The sequence below is a fragment of the Homo sapiens genome, chromosome 14 (genome assembly GCF_000001405.40).
Source record: "Homo sapiens chromosome 14, GRCh38.p14 Primary Assembly".
In the NCBI taxonomy this organism is placed as follows: domain Eukaryota; kingdom Metazoa; phylum Chordata; class Mammalia; order Primates; family Hominidae; genus Homo; species Homo sapiens.
The window spans coordinates 71,322,935-71,340,559 of NC_000014.9; the positions used below are offsets into that span (position 1 = coordinate 71,322,935).

Sequence of the window (17,625 nt, forward strand, 5' to 3'; positions counted from 1 at the left end):
AGTCAGTGATAGTTGTGATTTCATTGGAGGAGTCTATGGCAAGGTTGACTTCAACTCCAGGTAATAATTGCAAAGCACCTCTCTGATACTTTGTACTGAGATTCATTTAACTCTTCTTTTGTCTCTGTCCTTACACTAGTATTTTCAGGCTTCTGCATTTGCTTTGCTTTTGCTTTGAAGTATGTGTGTAATTTTGGTATAGTGCCCCCATCTTCATTGTTTAGGAACTTTTAAAAAACACTTTCTAGTGAGTTTATTGAAGTCATAGATTGAAGATTGCTTGAGATTAGCAGTTTTGTAGACTTCGGGGGGATCTTGGTTGAGTTGTGATGTATATATGTTCTATCTTAAGTTGCAATCTGAATTTTTAGATAAATGACTGTTTTTCTTTTTTTAAAAATCTGTTTGAGCTGTGAAATGGGAGCATGAGGAGAGCTGAAATGGTATGAGAGTGGAATTTGATGGAAAGTTTGTCATGATTAATAATGTGACTATGTGCCTCTTATCAGTCCTTACCGTTGTATTATCATTGTTATTGGTCCGTATCAGTGCACAAATGAAGTATGAATATCCTGAAGATTTTTTGTTGACATCTCAGATTTGAGCCTTTTGGTTCACTGACCATATTAGATTTTCTCTATGGAAGACAAATAGACTCATTCCCATAATAAAGAACTAGAGCGCTGATAGAGCACACTTTTTTTTTTCCCCTTTGGATCAAATCATGGAAGTTCAAATCTGAAAATAAATTCAGAAATTTCTTTTTTTCCCCATAGCATCCCTATATTCCTAACCTTTTGAGTGGTGAGTCAAGCAATATTTATTGAATGCTGCTATCTGGCAGGTGCACTTTTGGTTTCTGTGATTACAGTGATGAGCAAGAGTGTACCTGGCCACATGGAACTTGTAGTCCAGTGGGACCATTTGTAGTAATATTTTCTGGCATGGAGTTATGGTACCCTGATGCCCTCGTAAAGGTTATACATAATAGGCAATTATTTTTGAATTTTAATATATTTTAACATTTTGAAATAATGTAACCTAGAATTTGTCCTCAGAAGGTCTGGGTTTCAAATACCTGCCCTGCCATTTTCGTTGTGAGATATTGAAAAATAATTGAACTTCTTTCTGAACTTTACTGTTGTTTCCTGCGGAGATGGGCTCAAGACTTGCTTCACAGATGAGCTACAAAAATTGATGAGAATACATGTATGAAAGTACTTTGTAAACTATAAAGTCTTATTTGTAATAGGGTTTTCTTACTTTTTGTTGGACAGATTCATGGATTGTTGGAACTAGGAGGGATTTTGACTCATTTGGCTCATGTTTCCCATTTTACGTATGAGGAAACTGAAGCCCAGAAAGTTGAAGTGATTTGTTGAAGGTTATAGAACTGGTTAATGACTAGGCAGTGATTGGAAGACAGGTGTCCATATTTAATTGCACTCGTTTCTTTTCTTTTTTTCCTACCTTAGAGCCTGTTATGTTAAAATTTTACTACTTTCTCCCCCCACTTAAGAGTTCAGTATTTATTAAATATCCAAAATGAGGAGATGCAAAACTTAAGGAAACGAACGATCTGTGGTGAGGTTGTAAAGCTATGAAAACAACATTGGTAACCGAGCTTCATAATTAAATGACAAAGTTACAGAAAAAGAAAATATGAGTTAAAGTTTCTACATAGTAGAGCCTGTAGGCTTTTTTGTTTTGTTTCATTTTTAAAGAAATCTTTATTTGCACAGAGCATAATGTACTCTTTAGCTCTTTAGAAAAGCTAAACTCAGTTTATTTTGGTTCATCTTTTTCTTCTCTTTTTAAACTCATTTCCATTTGCGGAAGAAATTAGGTGTACCATCCTTGTTTCTGGACCATGGCCAACTAAATTTTAGACCTTTTTTCTCAGCGACATGTAAGGGTAACCAGAGATTGGGGCTGGGGGTGTTAGGTGGAGAGATAAAACAGGACATAAAACAGGAACGTGTAGGAGCTTCCTGTTGAAAATGGGACTGATTTATGTTGCGCCACCCTACCTTCCAGTGGAGTAATCTGAGCCAGCAGAGAAGAAACTTCCCTGCTGGTTGGGTGAATGCCCTTGAGGTGAGGGGGTTTCCTTCTTCCGGGAGAGATAAGCATTGTGGTATTCTGCCATTGCTCACACAGAAGTTTGGGTCTTATTCTACAGACAGACGCAGTAAAATAAGGGTGTTCCACTATCCCTTGAGACTGACAATCTGACCTTCTATCTGCTGCACTTCTACTTTTTTGGTATGGGAAATCAATTGGCCTCATTGAATTTTTGCTTTTAGTTTTTTTCTATGCCTAGCTAATCAAAAACAAAAACAAAACCCACATGCTTTGATGACACCTTGCTTTCAAAGGTTATATTTAAGTTAATTATTCTTAAATGATAGCTCATTTATTTTTATTCAGTGGACTGTTGATGAGCTCTGGAGTGAGTCTTAGAAGCATGGGAAAGATTTGTGGCTTCTGGGTCTTTTAAACATGGATGATTTGCATAAGGGACAGAGCAACACAGTGATTTGGTTTGTGATCATGAGGGTACAAAAAACCATCAGGGCAGATCTTTTAATGGTAGGTAATGTTCACCAGTCAACAACCATTTTCTCCTTTTATTCTGGCCTGGAGAGAGTAAGATAACCCCATTTGCAAATAGAACAGAGTGTTTTCTTAAAGGCATAGAGAGATGACACCAAAATGACATGGAGGGATGTCAGGAGCTGCTTTAGCTGGCCCGTAGTAAGTAGTAGTGCATTGGTGGGTGTGCCACAAAGTCAGGCGAAGCCATTTCTCTTTGCCTCTGGAGTCTGGGATGAGAAATTTCAACCTGTAGATTTCCAATTTGTTGCTTGTCATGTTGCACTAAGTTCTCCCTCTAATTAGGATTTAGTATGCCTAAGTTGAAATTGCGGGAAGCAGGCAATTACATAATGTTAGATTTCCCTTTTTCCAATTCAGGAAAGGCAGGAGAATGTGTGCTTGTTATGAATGCCAGCTTGGGGAGGGAGAATTGCTGGTTCACACAAACTCGGGGGTCACTCAAAGGCAACTTGAGCAGAACTGACAGCCAGTGCTGCTGCCATTGGATTCCTTTTTTCCTCTTTCCTCCCACAGAGCAGGTCTAGGTTAAATGAATTTCACAGATATGAAAGTTAATTGTGGTTATTTCTTTTCTCTTTCTACTTTTTCCACAAAGCCTTTTACCAAAGCTATGAACAGGTATAGTCATTGATGGTTTTGTGGTTCAGCGACTTGCTTCTTTTTTTTTTTTTTTGAGATGGAGTCTCGCTGTGTCACCCAGGCTGGAGTGCAGTGGCATGACCTCGGCTCACTACAACCTCTGCCTCCTGGGTTCAAGCGATTCTCCTGCCTCAGCCTCCCGAGTAGCTGGGATTACAGGCACACGCCGCCACACCTGGCTGATTTTTATATTTTTAGTAGAGGCAGGGTTTCGCCATGTTGGCCAGGCTGGTCTCAAACTCCTGACCTTAGGTGATCCGCCTGCCTCAGCCTCCCAAACTGCTGGGATTACAGGCAGGAGCCACCACACCTGGCCGACTTGCTTCTTTTTATAATGAGTTCTGAACTGCTCAGAAAGAAGCTATTGAGAAAGAAAAGCAAAGGGCTGTGTGCCAAACGATCGTGTTCCTATAATCAAGACTTGACTATGGTCAGTGTCTTTTACTCTGGCTCCATGTTATCTTTCTGTAATTCATTTTCTTCATATTGTAAATTATTTATCTAGATAGGAAATGTAATTTGCTTTTTTTTTTTTTTTTTTTTGAGATGGAGTCTGTTACCCAGGCTGGTGTGCAGTGACACCATCTCTGCTCACTGCAACCTCTGCCTCCTGGGTTCAAGCGATTCTCCTGCCTCAGCCTCCCAAGTAGCTGGGATTACAGGCGTGTGCCACCACACCCAGCTAATTTTTGTTTTTTTAGTAAAGACAGGGTTTCGCCATGTTGGCCAGGCTGGTCTAGGACTCCTGACTTCCAGCGATCCTCCCGCCTTGGCCTCCCAAAGTGCTGGTATTACAGATGTGAGCCATTGCGCCCGGCCTAATTTGGTATTTTTTGGGCTCATTGCCTTTCCTTTAATAGTCTCTAGCTCCCAGAATTGATTGAAATCTTTTTTTTTTTTTTTTTTGAGACGGAGTTTTTGCTCTTGTCATGCAGGCTGGAGTGCAGTGATGTGATCTCGGCTCACTGCAACCTCTGCCTCCCGGGTTCAAGCGATTCTCCTGCAACAGCCTCCTGAGTAGCTGGAACTACAGGCGTGTGCCACCATGCCCAGCTAATTTTTTGTATTTTTAGTAGAGATGGGGTTTCACCATATTGGCCAGGCTGGTCTTGAACTCCTGACTTCAGGTGATCCGCCCGCCTCGGCCTCCCAGTGTGCTGGGATTACAGGCATGAGCACCCGGCCTGAACCTCTATTTTTACATTTCTTTTCTATTTTACGTTTCTTTTCAGTTCTTGATGCTTATCATCAGTTCTTGATGCTCTTAGCTGCTAACTGGACTGTGGTATCCCATGTCTTCAGGAAGAGAGAGTCTGCTTATTAGGAGATGCTTATAAGATATAGAAATATAAATTAATAGGATGTCCTAAAATTTTCACCAAATTTGACTTTTATTGCTTGCTTCACCTGTATATACCTAGGAATAAAAATGGAGTCAGTTTTTTTCCATATTCTTGCAAGAATCATGGGGCTGTGGCTCTGAACCATACTGCTTGACTTTTAAAGACTTTTCAGAAACACATGTTCTTGAAATGTGGGTTAAATGTGTAGTTGATTTAACTCCTCCCTTTTCCCTAACCATACTTGTAGCTGCTCCACTGAAGACCTCAGAAGCTTCTGCCAGTATGCTTTCCCAGAGCCTAACTTCTTAGTAGCTGGTATTTGACATACGAAGAGAGTGCTCTGTGTGCATATGTGTGCATGCTTGTGTGTTTGTTTGTGTAGTGGGGGGCAGATTTGACTCCTAGCTCAGAATGTGCTCTTGTGAAACATGTTAGGAAGCCTGAATATGGTTCCTAAACTGTGTCTCTTTTCCAGTTTGAGAAATGCCTGTGATTCTTCAAAGAGTCTCAGTATTGTTTTATTTTTTAAATTAGGATCTTAATGATGAGTCTCAGTATTGTTTTATTTTTTAAATTAGGATCTTAATGATGATCCTTTGTAACAGGAAGCAAGGTATAGTAAATTGCATAACAAAATAATGTTTCAGTAGATAAATGGTAGGTTACAGAGAGCTGTAGGATTCACAGAAAAGGCTTATTAAAAGTTCAGGAACCTCAGCCTAATCTGGGTGAGATTGTTCTGAAGGCCATTTTCAAGGTGGTGGTTAAAAGTGCTGATTTTCTGTGGTTTGGGTGGGATGTGTGTTTGGGGAAGCAGTGAGTGCTTGAGTAGAGAATCACATGAACCTTGAGGCTTTTCTCCTGGGGGAGAATGCTAGATATTGAGGTTGATGGGTGATTTGAAGAAGCTCAGTAGGTGATTCTGTTATGCTTCTCCCCCACCCAGTTGAAAACACAGTGGCTTTTATATAATTTTTAGATCTATGCTTGACAATAAGGTAAATAAGTAGTGGACTTAAACCAGAATGCAGCCAACTGAGGATTGTAGAAACTTCATTTTGGATGGGTAAAAAGGAGAGCCTCTGGATCTTTTGTAGAGGCCCATTGATTCAAAAAGATAACTTGGAATAACTCCTCAAATGACTGCCAACAGTTTAAAGGGTCAGACTGCTTAGACTCCTGCAGTGGAGATGGGACATGTACATGCAATTTGATAATTGTATGTTGGCACTTCTTTTAAAAAAATTGTGGTAAAAACAGAAAAAGTTGACCATTTCAACCATTTTTAAGTATATAGTTCAGTAGTGTTAAGTATATTCACCTTGTCATGAAACAGATTTCCAGGACTTTTTCATCTTGCGAATCTGAAACTCTGTAAGCATTAAACATTGGCCCCCATTTCCACCTCCCACAGACTCTGGCAACCATCATTCTTTCTGTTTCTATGAATCTGGCTACTTTAGGTAACCTCATATAAGTGGAATCATGTAGTATTTGTCTGTGTCTGAATTATTTGACTTAGCATAAAATCCTCAAGGTTCATCAATGTTTGTAGCATGTGACAGGATTTCTATCTTTTTAAAGGTTTAATAGTATTCCGTCGTATGGGTATACCACATTTTGTTTATCCATTTATCTGTGGATAGATATTTGGCAGTTGTGATTGTTGCTATGAACGTGGGTGTGCAGATATCTCTTCAAGATCCTGCTTTTAATTATTTTGTGTATATACCCAGAAGCGGGATTGCTGGATCATATGATAGTTTTATTTTTAATTTTTTGAGGAACCTCCATACTGTTTTTCGTAGTTGTACCATTTTACAATCTCATCAACAGTTCATAAGGGTTCTAACTTCTCCACATCCTTACCAATACTTATTTTCTGTTTTTTTTTTTTTCAAATTAATTAATAAAAAATTTTTCGAGACAGGGTCTCCCTCTGCCACTCAGGTTGGGGTGCAGTGGTGCCATCTCAGCTCACTGCAACGTCCACCTCCCGGGCTCAAGCAATCCTCCTGCCTCAGCCTCCCGAGTAGCTGGGACTAATGGTGTACACCACCACACCCAGAGCTAATTAAAAAAACAATTTAAATAGGAACCATCTTAATGGATGCAAGGTAGTATCTCATTATGATTTTGATATATGTTTCTCTGATGATTGATGAAGTTGATTGTATTTTCATATTCTCGTTGGCCATTTGTATATTATCTCTGCATATATGTCTGTTCAAGCCTTCTGCCCATTTTTAAATTGGGTTATTTGATTTTTGTTGTTGAGTTGTAGGAGTTCTTTATATATTCTGGGTATATATTTTTTTCCTTCAGCATTGTGTTTTACTTTTTTGGGGAGAGGCTAGGAGGAGGAAGGGGTGAAAACAGGTTCTCATTGGAGTCTCCAAAGTGTATGCAACCTCTGGCAATACAAGGATGGGATGAGATGGCCAGGCCAGTCAGATAGAAAATCCCCAAGATTCTTTTGGCGACTGATTTCTATAATTAAAATATGACAGGTGGAAAGGACTAGTACATGGAATTCAATAAATGTCAGTTGTCTTTCCTAACTAGGTTCCTCATGGGCTAGGTTATGCCTAGATATCATCATCCTTCTCCAAATGAAGCTCGCCTAGAAAACTAGGGAACTAAAAGTGCAATACAGTTTGGGTAATGAAGTTGGTTAGCTGTCTCCCCATCCTCCCAACTCCACTATTCCAGGGAGGGGCTGAAAGTAGAAGTGGCTCCCCTGAAGTCTAGTTAGCATGTTGTGGGAGAGTCCACATGAAGGGCTGTGGGCTGTAACTCTCTAGTGCACAGTCCTCTCTTTTTGGCGATGAAAATTGTAGGGAAAGAAGCGGACATGCATGCTGATTTCACGAGCTGTCTTCAGGATCTCAGCAGCCTTGCTGTGCTCAATATCTTGGAAATCCACATCATTCACAGCTAGAACTTGGTCCCCTTCCTGAAGTCCTGCTCTATGTGCATCAGAGTCAGGAATCACCTTGGAGATGAAGATGCCTAGCTGGGAGGCCTTTCCTCCTCAGATGTTAAATCCCAACTGAGCTTCAGGAGGCTTCTTCAGTGTGATGGTTTGGGGCGGAAACTGGGTCAACTCATTGTTGTAGTCTGGGTGGGGTACCCTCTCATGAGGAGGAATCCATCCTGGAGGATTCTCATAGGCAGGCAGGAAAACCACCGGGTAGTCATCATAAGGAATCTGGCTGTCTATCTCGGGCAAGGCCCAGTGGGCTGTCCCTGACGACCTCAGGCTTCACTCCATATTCTAGATATTAACACCTTATGAGATAGATTATTTGCAAATATTTTTTCCACTCCAGGTTGCTTTTTTGCTCTGCTGATTGTATCCTTTGATGCACAAAAATTTTTTAGTTTGATGCAGTCCCACTTGGCTAATTTTGCTTTTGGCCGTATCTAAGAAGTAACTGCCAAGTCCAAAGTAATGAAGCTTTTTCTTTATATTTTCTTCTGGAAGTTTTATAATTTAGGTCTTACATTTAGGTCTTTAGTCCATTTTGGGTTCATTTTTATGTATAGTATAAGGGTCCAACTTTTATTCATTTGCATGTGGGTATCTTATTTTTTCCAACACCATTTGTTGAGAAGACTGTCCTTTCCTTATTGAGTGGTCTTGGCACCCTTGCCAGAAATCATTTGACTATATATGTGGGTTTATTTCTGGGCTGTCTATTCTATTCTATTGGTCTCTTTGTCTGTTTTTATGCCATTATCACACTGTTTTGATTGGTAATATGTTCTGAAATCGGGAAGTATAAATGGCACTTTTAAGTTATGCTGTTCTAGATATTGAATAATAAAGAAGTGACATTAAACAATTCAAAGAATTTTTCCTGTTTTTGAAGGATCGAGACACACTTAGAGAATGAGGTAAGATGATTTTAATGGCAGAACGTATGAGGCTACCAATTGGCAAGGAGCATAGTAAAAGCTGTGTGTCTAGCACTTCCGGTTTGCAAAGTACTTTCACACATACAGAGTCCAGTGGCTTGGGAAAGCTTCAAAAAGGCAATGAATCTTGAATTATCACAACAGTCAGATGTGTACCTTAGTGGGTATTCATACCCAACACTCTGTGTCAGTTGCATCACAGTGATTTAGAGAAATTATTATAAGAACTGTCACTTGTGGTAATTTTTTCCTTGATGCTGTGTTGTCTTTCCTTTTCCAAGCCAGTAGTTTCAGATTTCCTGTATCTGCTTGTTGAATAGCAGTGGGCCCCATATGAAGGTAGAATACTTAACCACAGCACTGTTTTATATTTTGGATGTGTTAAAAAATGAAAACAAAAACAAAAACAAAAAAACAGAAAACTGATCTGGCTGGGTTGTACAGGATGAATTGAAGGCAAAAGATTGAAGCCAGAACAGCAAATTTAGTGGCTGCTATAGGAACAAATTTCGGCTACTTAAGAAATATTTTCTCATCATCTTAATACAATGATGGGGATAATTTTGGTTGAGTATATTATTTGAAGGGACATTTGGTAGAATTTCCATGGAGGAATAATGTAGTATGCTTGTATGTAGTAGGCCTACCATAAAGATTTGTTTATTAGTGACCAAATGAATTTGTATCTGCAAGGTATTTGAATGGTGACCATATGAATTTTTGTTTGCATAGGTGGGTCTCTAAGGAGTAATTTATTCACTTTTCCTGTAAGTGTTTATTGAATCCCATTATATGCCAGGGACTGGTGGCTGCTGCTGGTAAACAGGATACATGGTTCCTGTCCTTGTATAGCTGATACTCTTCTAGTGACTTATGTGGCCCTTGTCAATGTTCTGTTCCTCTCCTCTAGTTGGATTTTTCTTTTAGTCAAAGGCCACCTGTTTTGGTGCAAAAACAATTGCAGTTGTTTATGGTCCTATATTAAATATTATTTATATATATAGAGAGAAATAAACAGTCAACTGCATTTTGGTTTCCAAGGAGATATATCTTGGCAAAATTTATTTTATCAAGTGCTTTTCTAAGAAAGAGTACCAAAGGAAACTGGCTGTAATGCCTTTTGGTTAAGATTTTCCTGAGGACCCAGATAGGGTTTTTAAATCTTGGTTTCTTCTACTCCCACACCCACCCCAAAAGAATCTGGAAAGCTAGTTATGACTAGTCCTGGGTTTGATATTGATTGCTGGAGCTTTGAAGAGTCATATAACCCTTCTGCATCTTCATTCATTCATTCATTTCTTCATTCACTTAATAAGTCTTCATTGTTTACCTGTTATGTATCAAATAATCCTTGTAAAAGGGAGAAAATTGAGGGTTGAATTCAGTTTTCTTTAAGACCTACTGTAAAAATTCTATAAATTTATTACTATGATTTAGTAAGATTTAGGCCTTTTTATAGATAGTAGAAATATTTTTGAAAGAACTGAAGAAAGAAATTTAGAGTATTTGTTTTTAACTCTAAAATATTTTAGTGAGAAAATTCTATAATGGTGGATAATTTTAGTGTTAGTTCATTCTGAGCTGAAACCAATCAACATTTAAACTCAGCTCAGAGTTTTTCTTTTTAATTTTGGTAGTAGACAGTTCTGAATCTAACCTTTCTGTTGTTACAGGTAGCACCCTGGAAACTTAATGCCTGTTTCAGATGATTGGTATAATGTGTGTGTAGGAGATTTGGAAATGCTTGTTACCTCTTCTAGGTGCTTGGTTCTGAATCTTTTAGACTATGGTCATCTTTTATGTGTAGTCGTCTTGGGATAATGGTAACATCATGTCACTGAATGCAGAACAGTCACACTGAAGATCTGAGTGCCATTACTGTGATAATTAAGCAGGTATTTGCTCATGCTGCCAAAAAAGTAATATTCAGAGTTCCTAGTGTGAGATTTCATGGCTTTATAAAGTGATATTTTCATTTTAACTTGTTGGAAATTCAACATAGTATTGACTATACATGAAAAGATTCAGTTATGCAAAGTAAAATGTAAGAATTTCCTCCCATGTCGATTGTTGCTTTTCGTAAATCTGGTTTCAGTGTTACCAAAGAACAGTGGAAGATTTGTTCTAGTCCTGGCTTTACTACATACTAGTTGTGTGACTTTGGCTGTCTTTCATTTACTAATCAGCAGTATCATTATGCATTTTGTAGGTGGCAGATACGTTCTCATCCTAGGGATACATCAATAAACAACTCTGAGTGAGATGGGAAGCCACTGGAGGGTTTTGTACAAAGGGTTTTGGTCTGACATCTTTAAAGAGTGACACTCTGTTGTGTAGGGGAATAGAATGGGGAGGAGTGCAAAGGTGGAAATAGGGGGATGTTAGAGGTTTCTAGCAATGCTCTATAGGTGAGATATGATAGCAGCTGTGGAGGTGATGAGAAGTGAGTGGTTTCTGGATATATCTCAAATGGGGCTAAAATGATTCACTGGTGGGTGAGATGATGTGGAGTGTGACAAAGAGTATACTCAAGGATGACACCGAGGTGTTTAGCCTGAGCAGCTGGAATAATGGGGATGCCATTTATTGAAATGGAGATGCCTAGAGGAGCAAGTTTGGGTGTGGTATTAAGAGTTGATCTGTGCATGTTGGGTATGAGATGCAAGTTGACTTGCCAAGTGGAGCAGTCAGGTAGGCAGCTGGGCAGGTCTGTCAGTCTTCATGAGCTTTAGTTTTCTCATCTGTGAAATGGGGAGAGTGTCTGCCCTTCTCAGAATTCTTGAGATCAAATGAGAAAAAAAAAGTTAAAACTTGTAAAGCTGTGTCTTACATTATTTCTGGAAAGTAGACTGGCTACCATCTTGTGTCCTTTGTGGTCTCCTTTGCACTATTTAACTCATAGGCCACATTGTATTGTGGAAAGTTAGCATATGCCCTCCAAAGCCTGGTTTCTTTCCCAGTAGATGTGAAAGCTTTCTCTTTGATCCCTCCTGCAATTCCTGGGCAGCTTCTGGGAGAACTTGGTATGTATGTATTTCAGTTATCTCCAGGGTGTCAGAGGGCTTCATTTTGTGTAGAACCATACTTGAGAGTGTGGTACCAGACTTGCCTCTTAATAAACATAGCTTTGGGCCAAAGTAATTTATTTAGGTGGGAGGGTATTGTAGTAGAAAAATGGCTCTTATCTTTCTCAAATTCTTTATTTTAGGCTTTTTCCATAACTTGAATCCATTAACAGATAGGGTCTAATAGGTCAGATGATTTTGGGAGACCGCTCTTCATGTTTCTTGATTCAGAAAACTTATATATTCTAGTTTTTTTGACTGCTTTACTTTTTTTCAGGCAGGTGAAATACATTAAGTATGTATTTGAATCTATTGAATTAAAATTTGCTTAGGATCCACCATGTTGAAAGCATCAGTCTTGTATTTTTATCAGTGTCATTTTGAATTTATTAAATGTCTGTCATTAGAGGTAGTAGTAAATAGTTATATATTTGAAATGTAGTACTTTTATAATCTATACTTTCCTACCAGTTGATTGTTCCTTTAAGAATGTCTTGGCTGGGCGTGGTGGCTCACGCCTGTAATCCCAAGCGCTTTGGGAGGCTGAGGCGGGCGGATCACGAGCTCAGGAGATCAAGACCATCCTGGCTAGCACGGAGAAACCCCGTCTCTACCAAAAATACAAAAAATTAGCCGGGCGTGGTAGTGGGCGCCTGTAGTTCCAGCTACTTGGCAGGCTGAGGTAGGAGAATGGAGTGTGAACCCAGGAGGCGGAGCTTGCAGTGAGCCAAGATCGTGCCACTGCACTCTACCCTGGGCGACAGAGTGAGACTGTGTCTCAAAAGAAAAAAAAATGTCTTTAGCCAACAGATGTGGTGGTTTTGGGTTCTTCTAATCCACAAGCAGTTTTGAACAGAAACACTATCACTCTTCACTGCTGTCCTCGTTTGATTATCAGTCAGCAAGGTTCCACTGGGCATCAGCAGTGTGCGCCCATTGCAGGTCCTCTGATTTAGAAAGGTCCTGACACATGCAGTGAATATAACTTGATGACTGCCATCTAAGTAAGTATGGTAACCGTTGGAATACCATCTAAGTAAGCATTCTAAGTGTTCAGTGGAAAGAGAATGGTAATCGCTTTAATAATGAAGGCCTCAGGGAGGTAGGAACCATGTTTTTCAGGAGATATCATGGGGGCAGAAGTTATTTTGGATAGTTTTCTTATATGTTTTGAGCAAAAGGACCTCTCTCTACATGAGGGTTTTTGTTAGGTCTTCAGATTTATAAAATAGGTTTACCCATCCGCTTAATAATTGTTAAGTTACATAGTCTTTTGCTTTTCATTGAATTGGCTTACTGTACATTATTTTGTTTCAGCCTCTAAGAAACTGAACCATAGGTACCCAGTATATTACTTGACATAATTGTTCATAATTGTTGAAGAGAAACCTCAAACCTTGTCTTTCCTTTTTAAGTACATATTAGAAAATTTTGGTCAATTGTAACAACTAATTTAAAGGGGATCTATATGTTTAAATCTGTATCTTTTTCATGCTTAATTTTTCCCCCTAGAAGGAACATGACTGTCTTAGTCTTCCTAAAGTATCTTTTAGGCTTTCCAAATTGTCTGATGGCTATTTATTTGAACTTAAGTGCAATAGTTGCTTTTATTGGAGAGATGCTGAGCGTCTGAGGTTGCAGTAATTATTTATGTACTCCTAAAGTTTTTTTAAATAACAACTTTATTGAGTTATAATTCTCTATTTAAATTAAAAAGTCAGTAGTTCTTAGTATATTCATACAGTTCTGCAGCTATCTCTATAAACAATTTTAGAACATTTTCATTACCCCGCAAAGAAACTCCAAGCCCATTTGCAGTCACCCCCCATTTCTTTCCAGCCGCACCCCTCCTCTCCGACCCTAGCCCTAGGCTACCACTAACCTACTTTCTGTCTTTATAGATTTGCCTCTTCTATGTGTTTCATATAAATGGGATCATACAATATTTTGTGTTTTGTGACTGGCTTCTTTCACCTAGCTCTGTCAAAGCACATTTTTTGCAAGCGCTTTAACTTTGGTGGTAATGTTACAGATTTAAGGATTCAAAACCAAATATTCCCTGTCTGCTGACACAGAAACTACAACCTGTGCTGGGACCAGAGAAAATAGCAAAACGACCAGTTACTAAGTGTGTTTGTAGAACAGGGAGTGAACTTTGAAGCTTTCATAAAATAAAACCACCCTAGTACTAATCCACCAGTGCATTCAGTACATGTGATTGCGTAATTGTTTTACCGCACCTTTCCAGAGTATTATCCTGTTTTTCCCTCGAATTTCTTGCAGCTCTTAGAAGTCGTTTCTGATTCTTCCCTTTCTTTTACTTTTGCTCTGATCTGTGACCAAGCTTTATCATTTTTTTCCCTTTGAATTGATTTTTTTAGCTTTTGCTCTTAGTTTTATTGTCACTGTCTTAGAGTGGACCTTGACCCCTGTATCTAAGCGGCTGTATCTAGGCTTAGGCCTCCTTTCTGACCCGTTTGACTCCCGCTGTCCCATTCTCCAGGCCATCTTGTCTGATCATTCTTTCTAAGGGACCACTTAGTTACATGTGCCACCCTGGAGGAACTCAAGTGGCTCTAATACTTTGCTACATCAAAGTCATACTTTCCTGCTTGCTTTTACGACATTCCTATTTGGTCTCTCCATTTTTGGCCTCTACCAGACTATGTCTCTGCCTTCCTATGCTAGGACTTTGCTCTGTCCTCTTCCGTCCTATTCTGATTTTCGAAAAATCTTCAGTTCGTTTTCAGTTTTAGTTATATTTAATTCAAAAAGTATGGAGGCCAGGTGCGGTGGTTCACACTTGTAATCTCAGCACTTTGGGAGGCTGTATCAGTCTCTTCTCACACTGCTAATAAAGACATACTTGAGACTGGGTAATTTATAAAGGAAAGAGGCTTAATGGACTCACAGTTCCACATGGCTGGGGAAGCCTCACAATCATGGCAGAAGGCAGATGAGTAGCAAAGTTACGTCTTACATGGCAGCAGGCAAGAGAGCATGTCCTGGAGAACTCCTCTTTATAAAACCATCAGATCTCATGAGACTTATTCACTATCACAAGAACAGCATGGAAAAGACCAGCATCCATGATTCAATTATCTCCCACCGGCTCCCTCCCATGACACGTGGGAATTATGGGAGCTACAATTCAAGATGAGATTTGGGTGGGGACACAGCCAAACCGTATCAGAGGCTGAGATGGATGGTTCACTTGAGCCTAGGAGTTGGAGACCAGCCTGGGCAACATGGTGAAATCCTGTCTCTACAAAAAATAAGCTAGGCATGGTGATGCATGCCTGTAGTCCCAGCTGTTCAGGAGGCTGAGATGGGAGGATCGCATGAGGCCAGGAGGTCGAGGCTGCAGTGAGCAGAGATAGTGCCACTGCACTCCAGCCTGGGCAGCAGAGTGAGACCATGTCTTAAAAAAAGAAAAATGTATGTGAAATCTACTAATTTCCTCATTTGTTGCTTTATCACTCTTATACCCTTCCCTGCATATGGTACTCCTTATCAGTATCTTGTCTCCCTTTTCCCTCTGGGCACCAGCCCCTGAACACTAGTTTTATCCCTGTCTTTCTCATCCTTCAAGACCCACCTTCTTCATTGATGTCTTGCTGGTTACCATAACACACCCTGATTTCTCCCTTCTCTGACATGTTGTTGTATTGTGTTGCGCACTTAAAGAGCCTAGCACTTAATGATTAATGCATAGTTCATCAAGGGTGTTTAGCCTGGAGAAAACTCAGAGGGGCATCATCCTTTGTCGCAGGAGTCAAAAGTCCATCAAGTGGAAGGAGGAGAGGTTACCTTTTGTCTTCTCAGGCCTCACAGGACAGAACCAATGAGTAGAGTAAATACAGATATTTGAGTAAACATTAGAAAGGACTTTGCTGGTCCAGGTGCTTGCAGTTGTGATAGGCTGTGTCCCATCGTTGGAGGCCCTAATGCATAAGGCTGGATCATTTCTGGACAGGGTCATTGTAAAGGGCGTTCACATGATTCACATGGGCTCAGTTACACTAGTGATTATCTGTCTCGAGTGTCACAGTCATCCGGGGGCATTTAAATACACAGATTCTCAGCCTCCACCTTGAGAGTTTAGGTTGAGCAGTCTGTGAAGCCAGGCTTGGAAAGTTTTGAATTAGGTGGCTCTTTTAGTCCTGAGATCCTATGAGGCTCATTTGGTTACTAGATTTTTATTTATTTTATTTTTATTTATTATTATTATTTTTTGAGACAGAGTCTCACTTTGTTGCCTAGGCTGGAGTGCAATGGTGTGATCTCGGCTCACTGCAACCTCCGCCTCCTGGGTTCAAGCAATTCTCCTTCCTCAGCTTCCCGAGTAGCTAGGATTACAGGTGTGCACCACCACACCCGGCTTCTTTTTGTATTTTTAGCAGAGATGGCGTTTCACCATGTTGGCCAGGCTGGTCTTGAACTCCCAACCTCAAGTGATCTGCCTGCCTTGGCCTCCCAAAGTGCTGGGATTACAGGTGTGAGCCACTGTGCATGGCCAGATTACCAGATATTTATTGAGTGCCTGTATTATATGGCAATATAAAGTTTTTGGTTTTTGCCTTCATGGAGCATAGAGTCAAGGGAGTAATGCAGACAGAGAGCTGAAACCATGTGATTTCTCCTCAGGTAGGTATAGATTCTCTGAGGATAGAGACCATTTCTCTTTTTTTCATGGTTCTTTATTTGCCCCAGAGGAATGGGCACTTTGGGATTCCTTCTTGACTGGCAAGATGATTAACCCGATGTTTACTGACAAGCCCTCCTTGTGGTAGGGCTTAGTACTATGTTCTTTATCTAAGTGTTTTCTTTACTTTTCTTTCTTTCTTTTTTTTTTTTTTGGGACAAAGTCTCGCTCTGTAGGCCAGGCTGGAGTGCAGTGGCATGATCTCGGCTCACCGCAACCTCCGCCTCCTGGGTTCAAGTGATTCTCCTGCCTCAGCCTCCCGAGTAGCTGGGATTACAGGCACTCACCACTTCACCCGGCTAATTTTTTGTATTTTTAGTAGAGACAGGGTTTCACCATGTTGGCCAGGCTGGTCTTAAACTCCGGACCTCAGGTAATCCGCCTGCCTCAGCCTGTAAAAGTGCTGGGATTATAGGCGTGAGCCACCGTGCCAGGCCTATCCAAGTGTTTTCATACAACTTAATGTCTTGGTTGAGAAGGAGCCACTCTATCTTCATTTGTTTCATGGCAGGTTCTGGCTTTAGATTTTGTTGCTTCCTGGTAATTAATGTCAGCTATCATTTATTGAGTAACCACTGTGTCAGGCACTTTGTGTCACATTATTGCTAATCTTTATAAACAAGCCTGTGAGATAGACATTAGGACTCTGTGGGAGCCAGGATATTGAGTTCCTGTTACAGAATTTCTGCTTCTCTTAACATAGATTGTAGCAGCTACTGAGTTGAGGCGTTATCTAATGCAGTCATCTGTTGGGACCAGAGTAATTGCAGTCATATTTTGGCTGTGTGCATAAAGCATATTTTGTTGGGAATGCCAGAAAGCCTGTCTGCTTATAATAGGTAGCTATGACCACCACCCTGTTAAACTTATAATTCGTTTTAAACACTATGCTGTACTGATAATAAAAGATTTTCATCTGTTTCTCCAATGAAAGGCTGATCTTGCTACTATAGTTTTAAGCATGGTATATGGTTTATTATTCATTCATGTTGTGCCCAAATGGAAAGTCAGGGACTGTTTTTTTTTTCGTATCTTTAACAATGATCTGGATTTCACAGAGTTGGTGTGTGACCCATTTGGTGGTTTCTTTTTCTTATCTGTTGTAGGACTTTGGCCTGTCACGGTGTCGGCCCTAGTGCCCAGTTAGTAATGACCATAAATATCTTTTGCTGAACAACACCAGTGAATTCATTCTGTGTTAGGTTCTTTACTTATTCCATCTCATTTTATCCTCATGAAATTCCTGAAAAATAGGTATTATCAACATTTAACAGATGTAAGGAAACTGAGAAAGGCTAAATAACTTGTCTAGCTTTCAGTTGCTTCCCTAGCT

At 40.0% G+C, this 17,625-nt stretch overlaps 1 protein-coding gene and 1 pseudogene across 34 annotated transcripts in view, besides 1 other annotated feature; one reads left to right on the forward strand and one right to left on the reverse strand.

Moving 5' to 3' along the window:
* Nucleotides 1-17,625, forward strand: part of SIPA1L1 (signal induced proliferation associated 1 like 1) — a 420,734-nt gene that overhangs the window by 2,459 nt on the left and 400,650 nt on the right. For 3 of the 34 annotated variants that reach the window (XM_047431224.1, XM_047431242.1, XM_047431231.1), the window contains exon 1: nucleotides 1-60. The exons of 30 other annotated variants lie outside the window; for them this stretch is intronic. The gene's annotated coding sequence lies outside the window, so the exon portion shown is untranslated. One more of the 34 variants, XM_047431220.1, reaches the window with a different exon arrangement.
* Nucleotides 1,868-2,167: an enhancer, noted in NCBI's record as "active region_8673". NCBI's record gives its function as "activates an Ori minimal core promoter by ATAC-STARR-seq in GM12878 lymphoblastoid cells {active_cell/tissue: GM12878}" and the evidence as "EXISTENCE:reporter gene assay evidence [ECO:0000049][PMID:35858748]".
* Nucleotides 7,213-7,872, reverse strand: LOC729941 (PDZ domain containing 11 pseudogene; annotated as a pseudogene).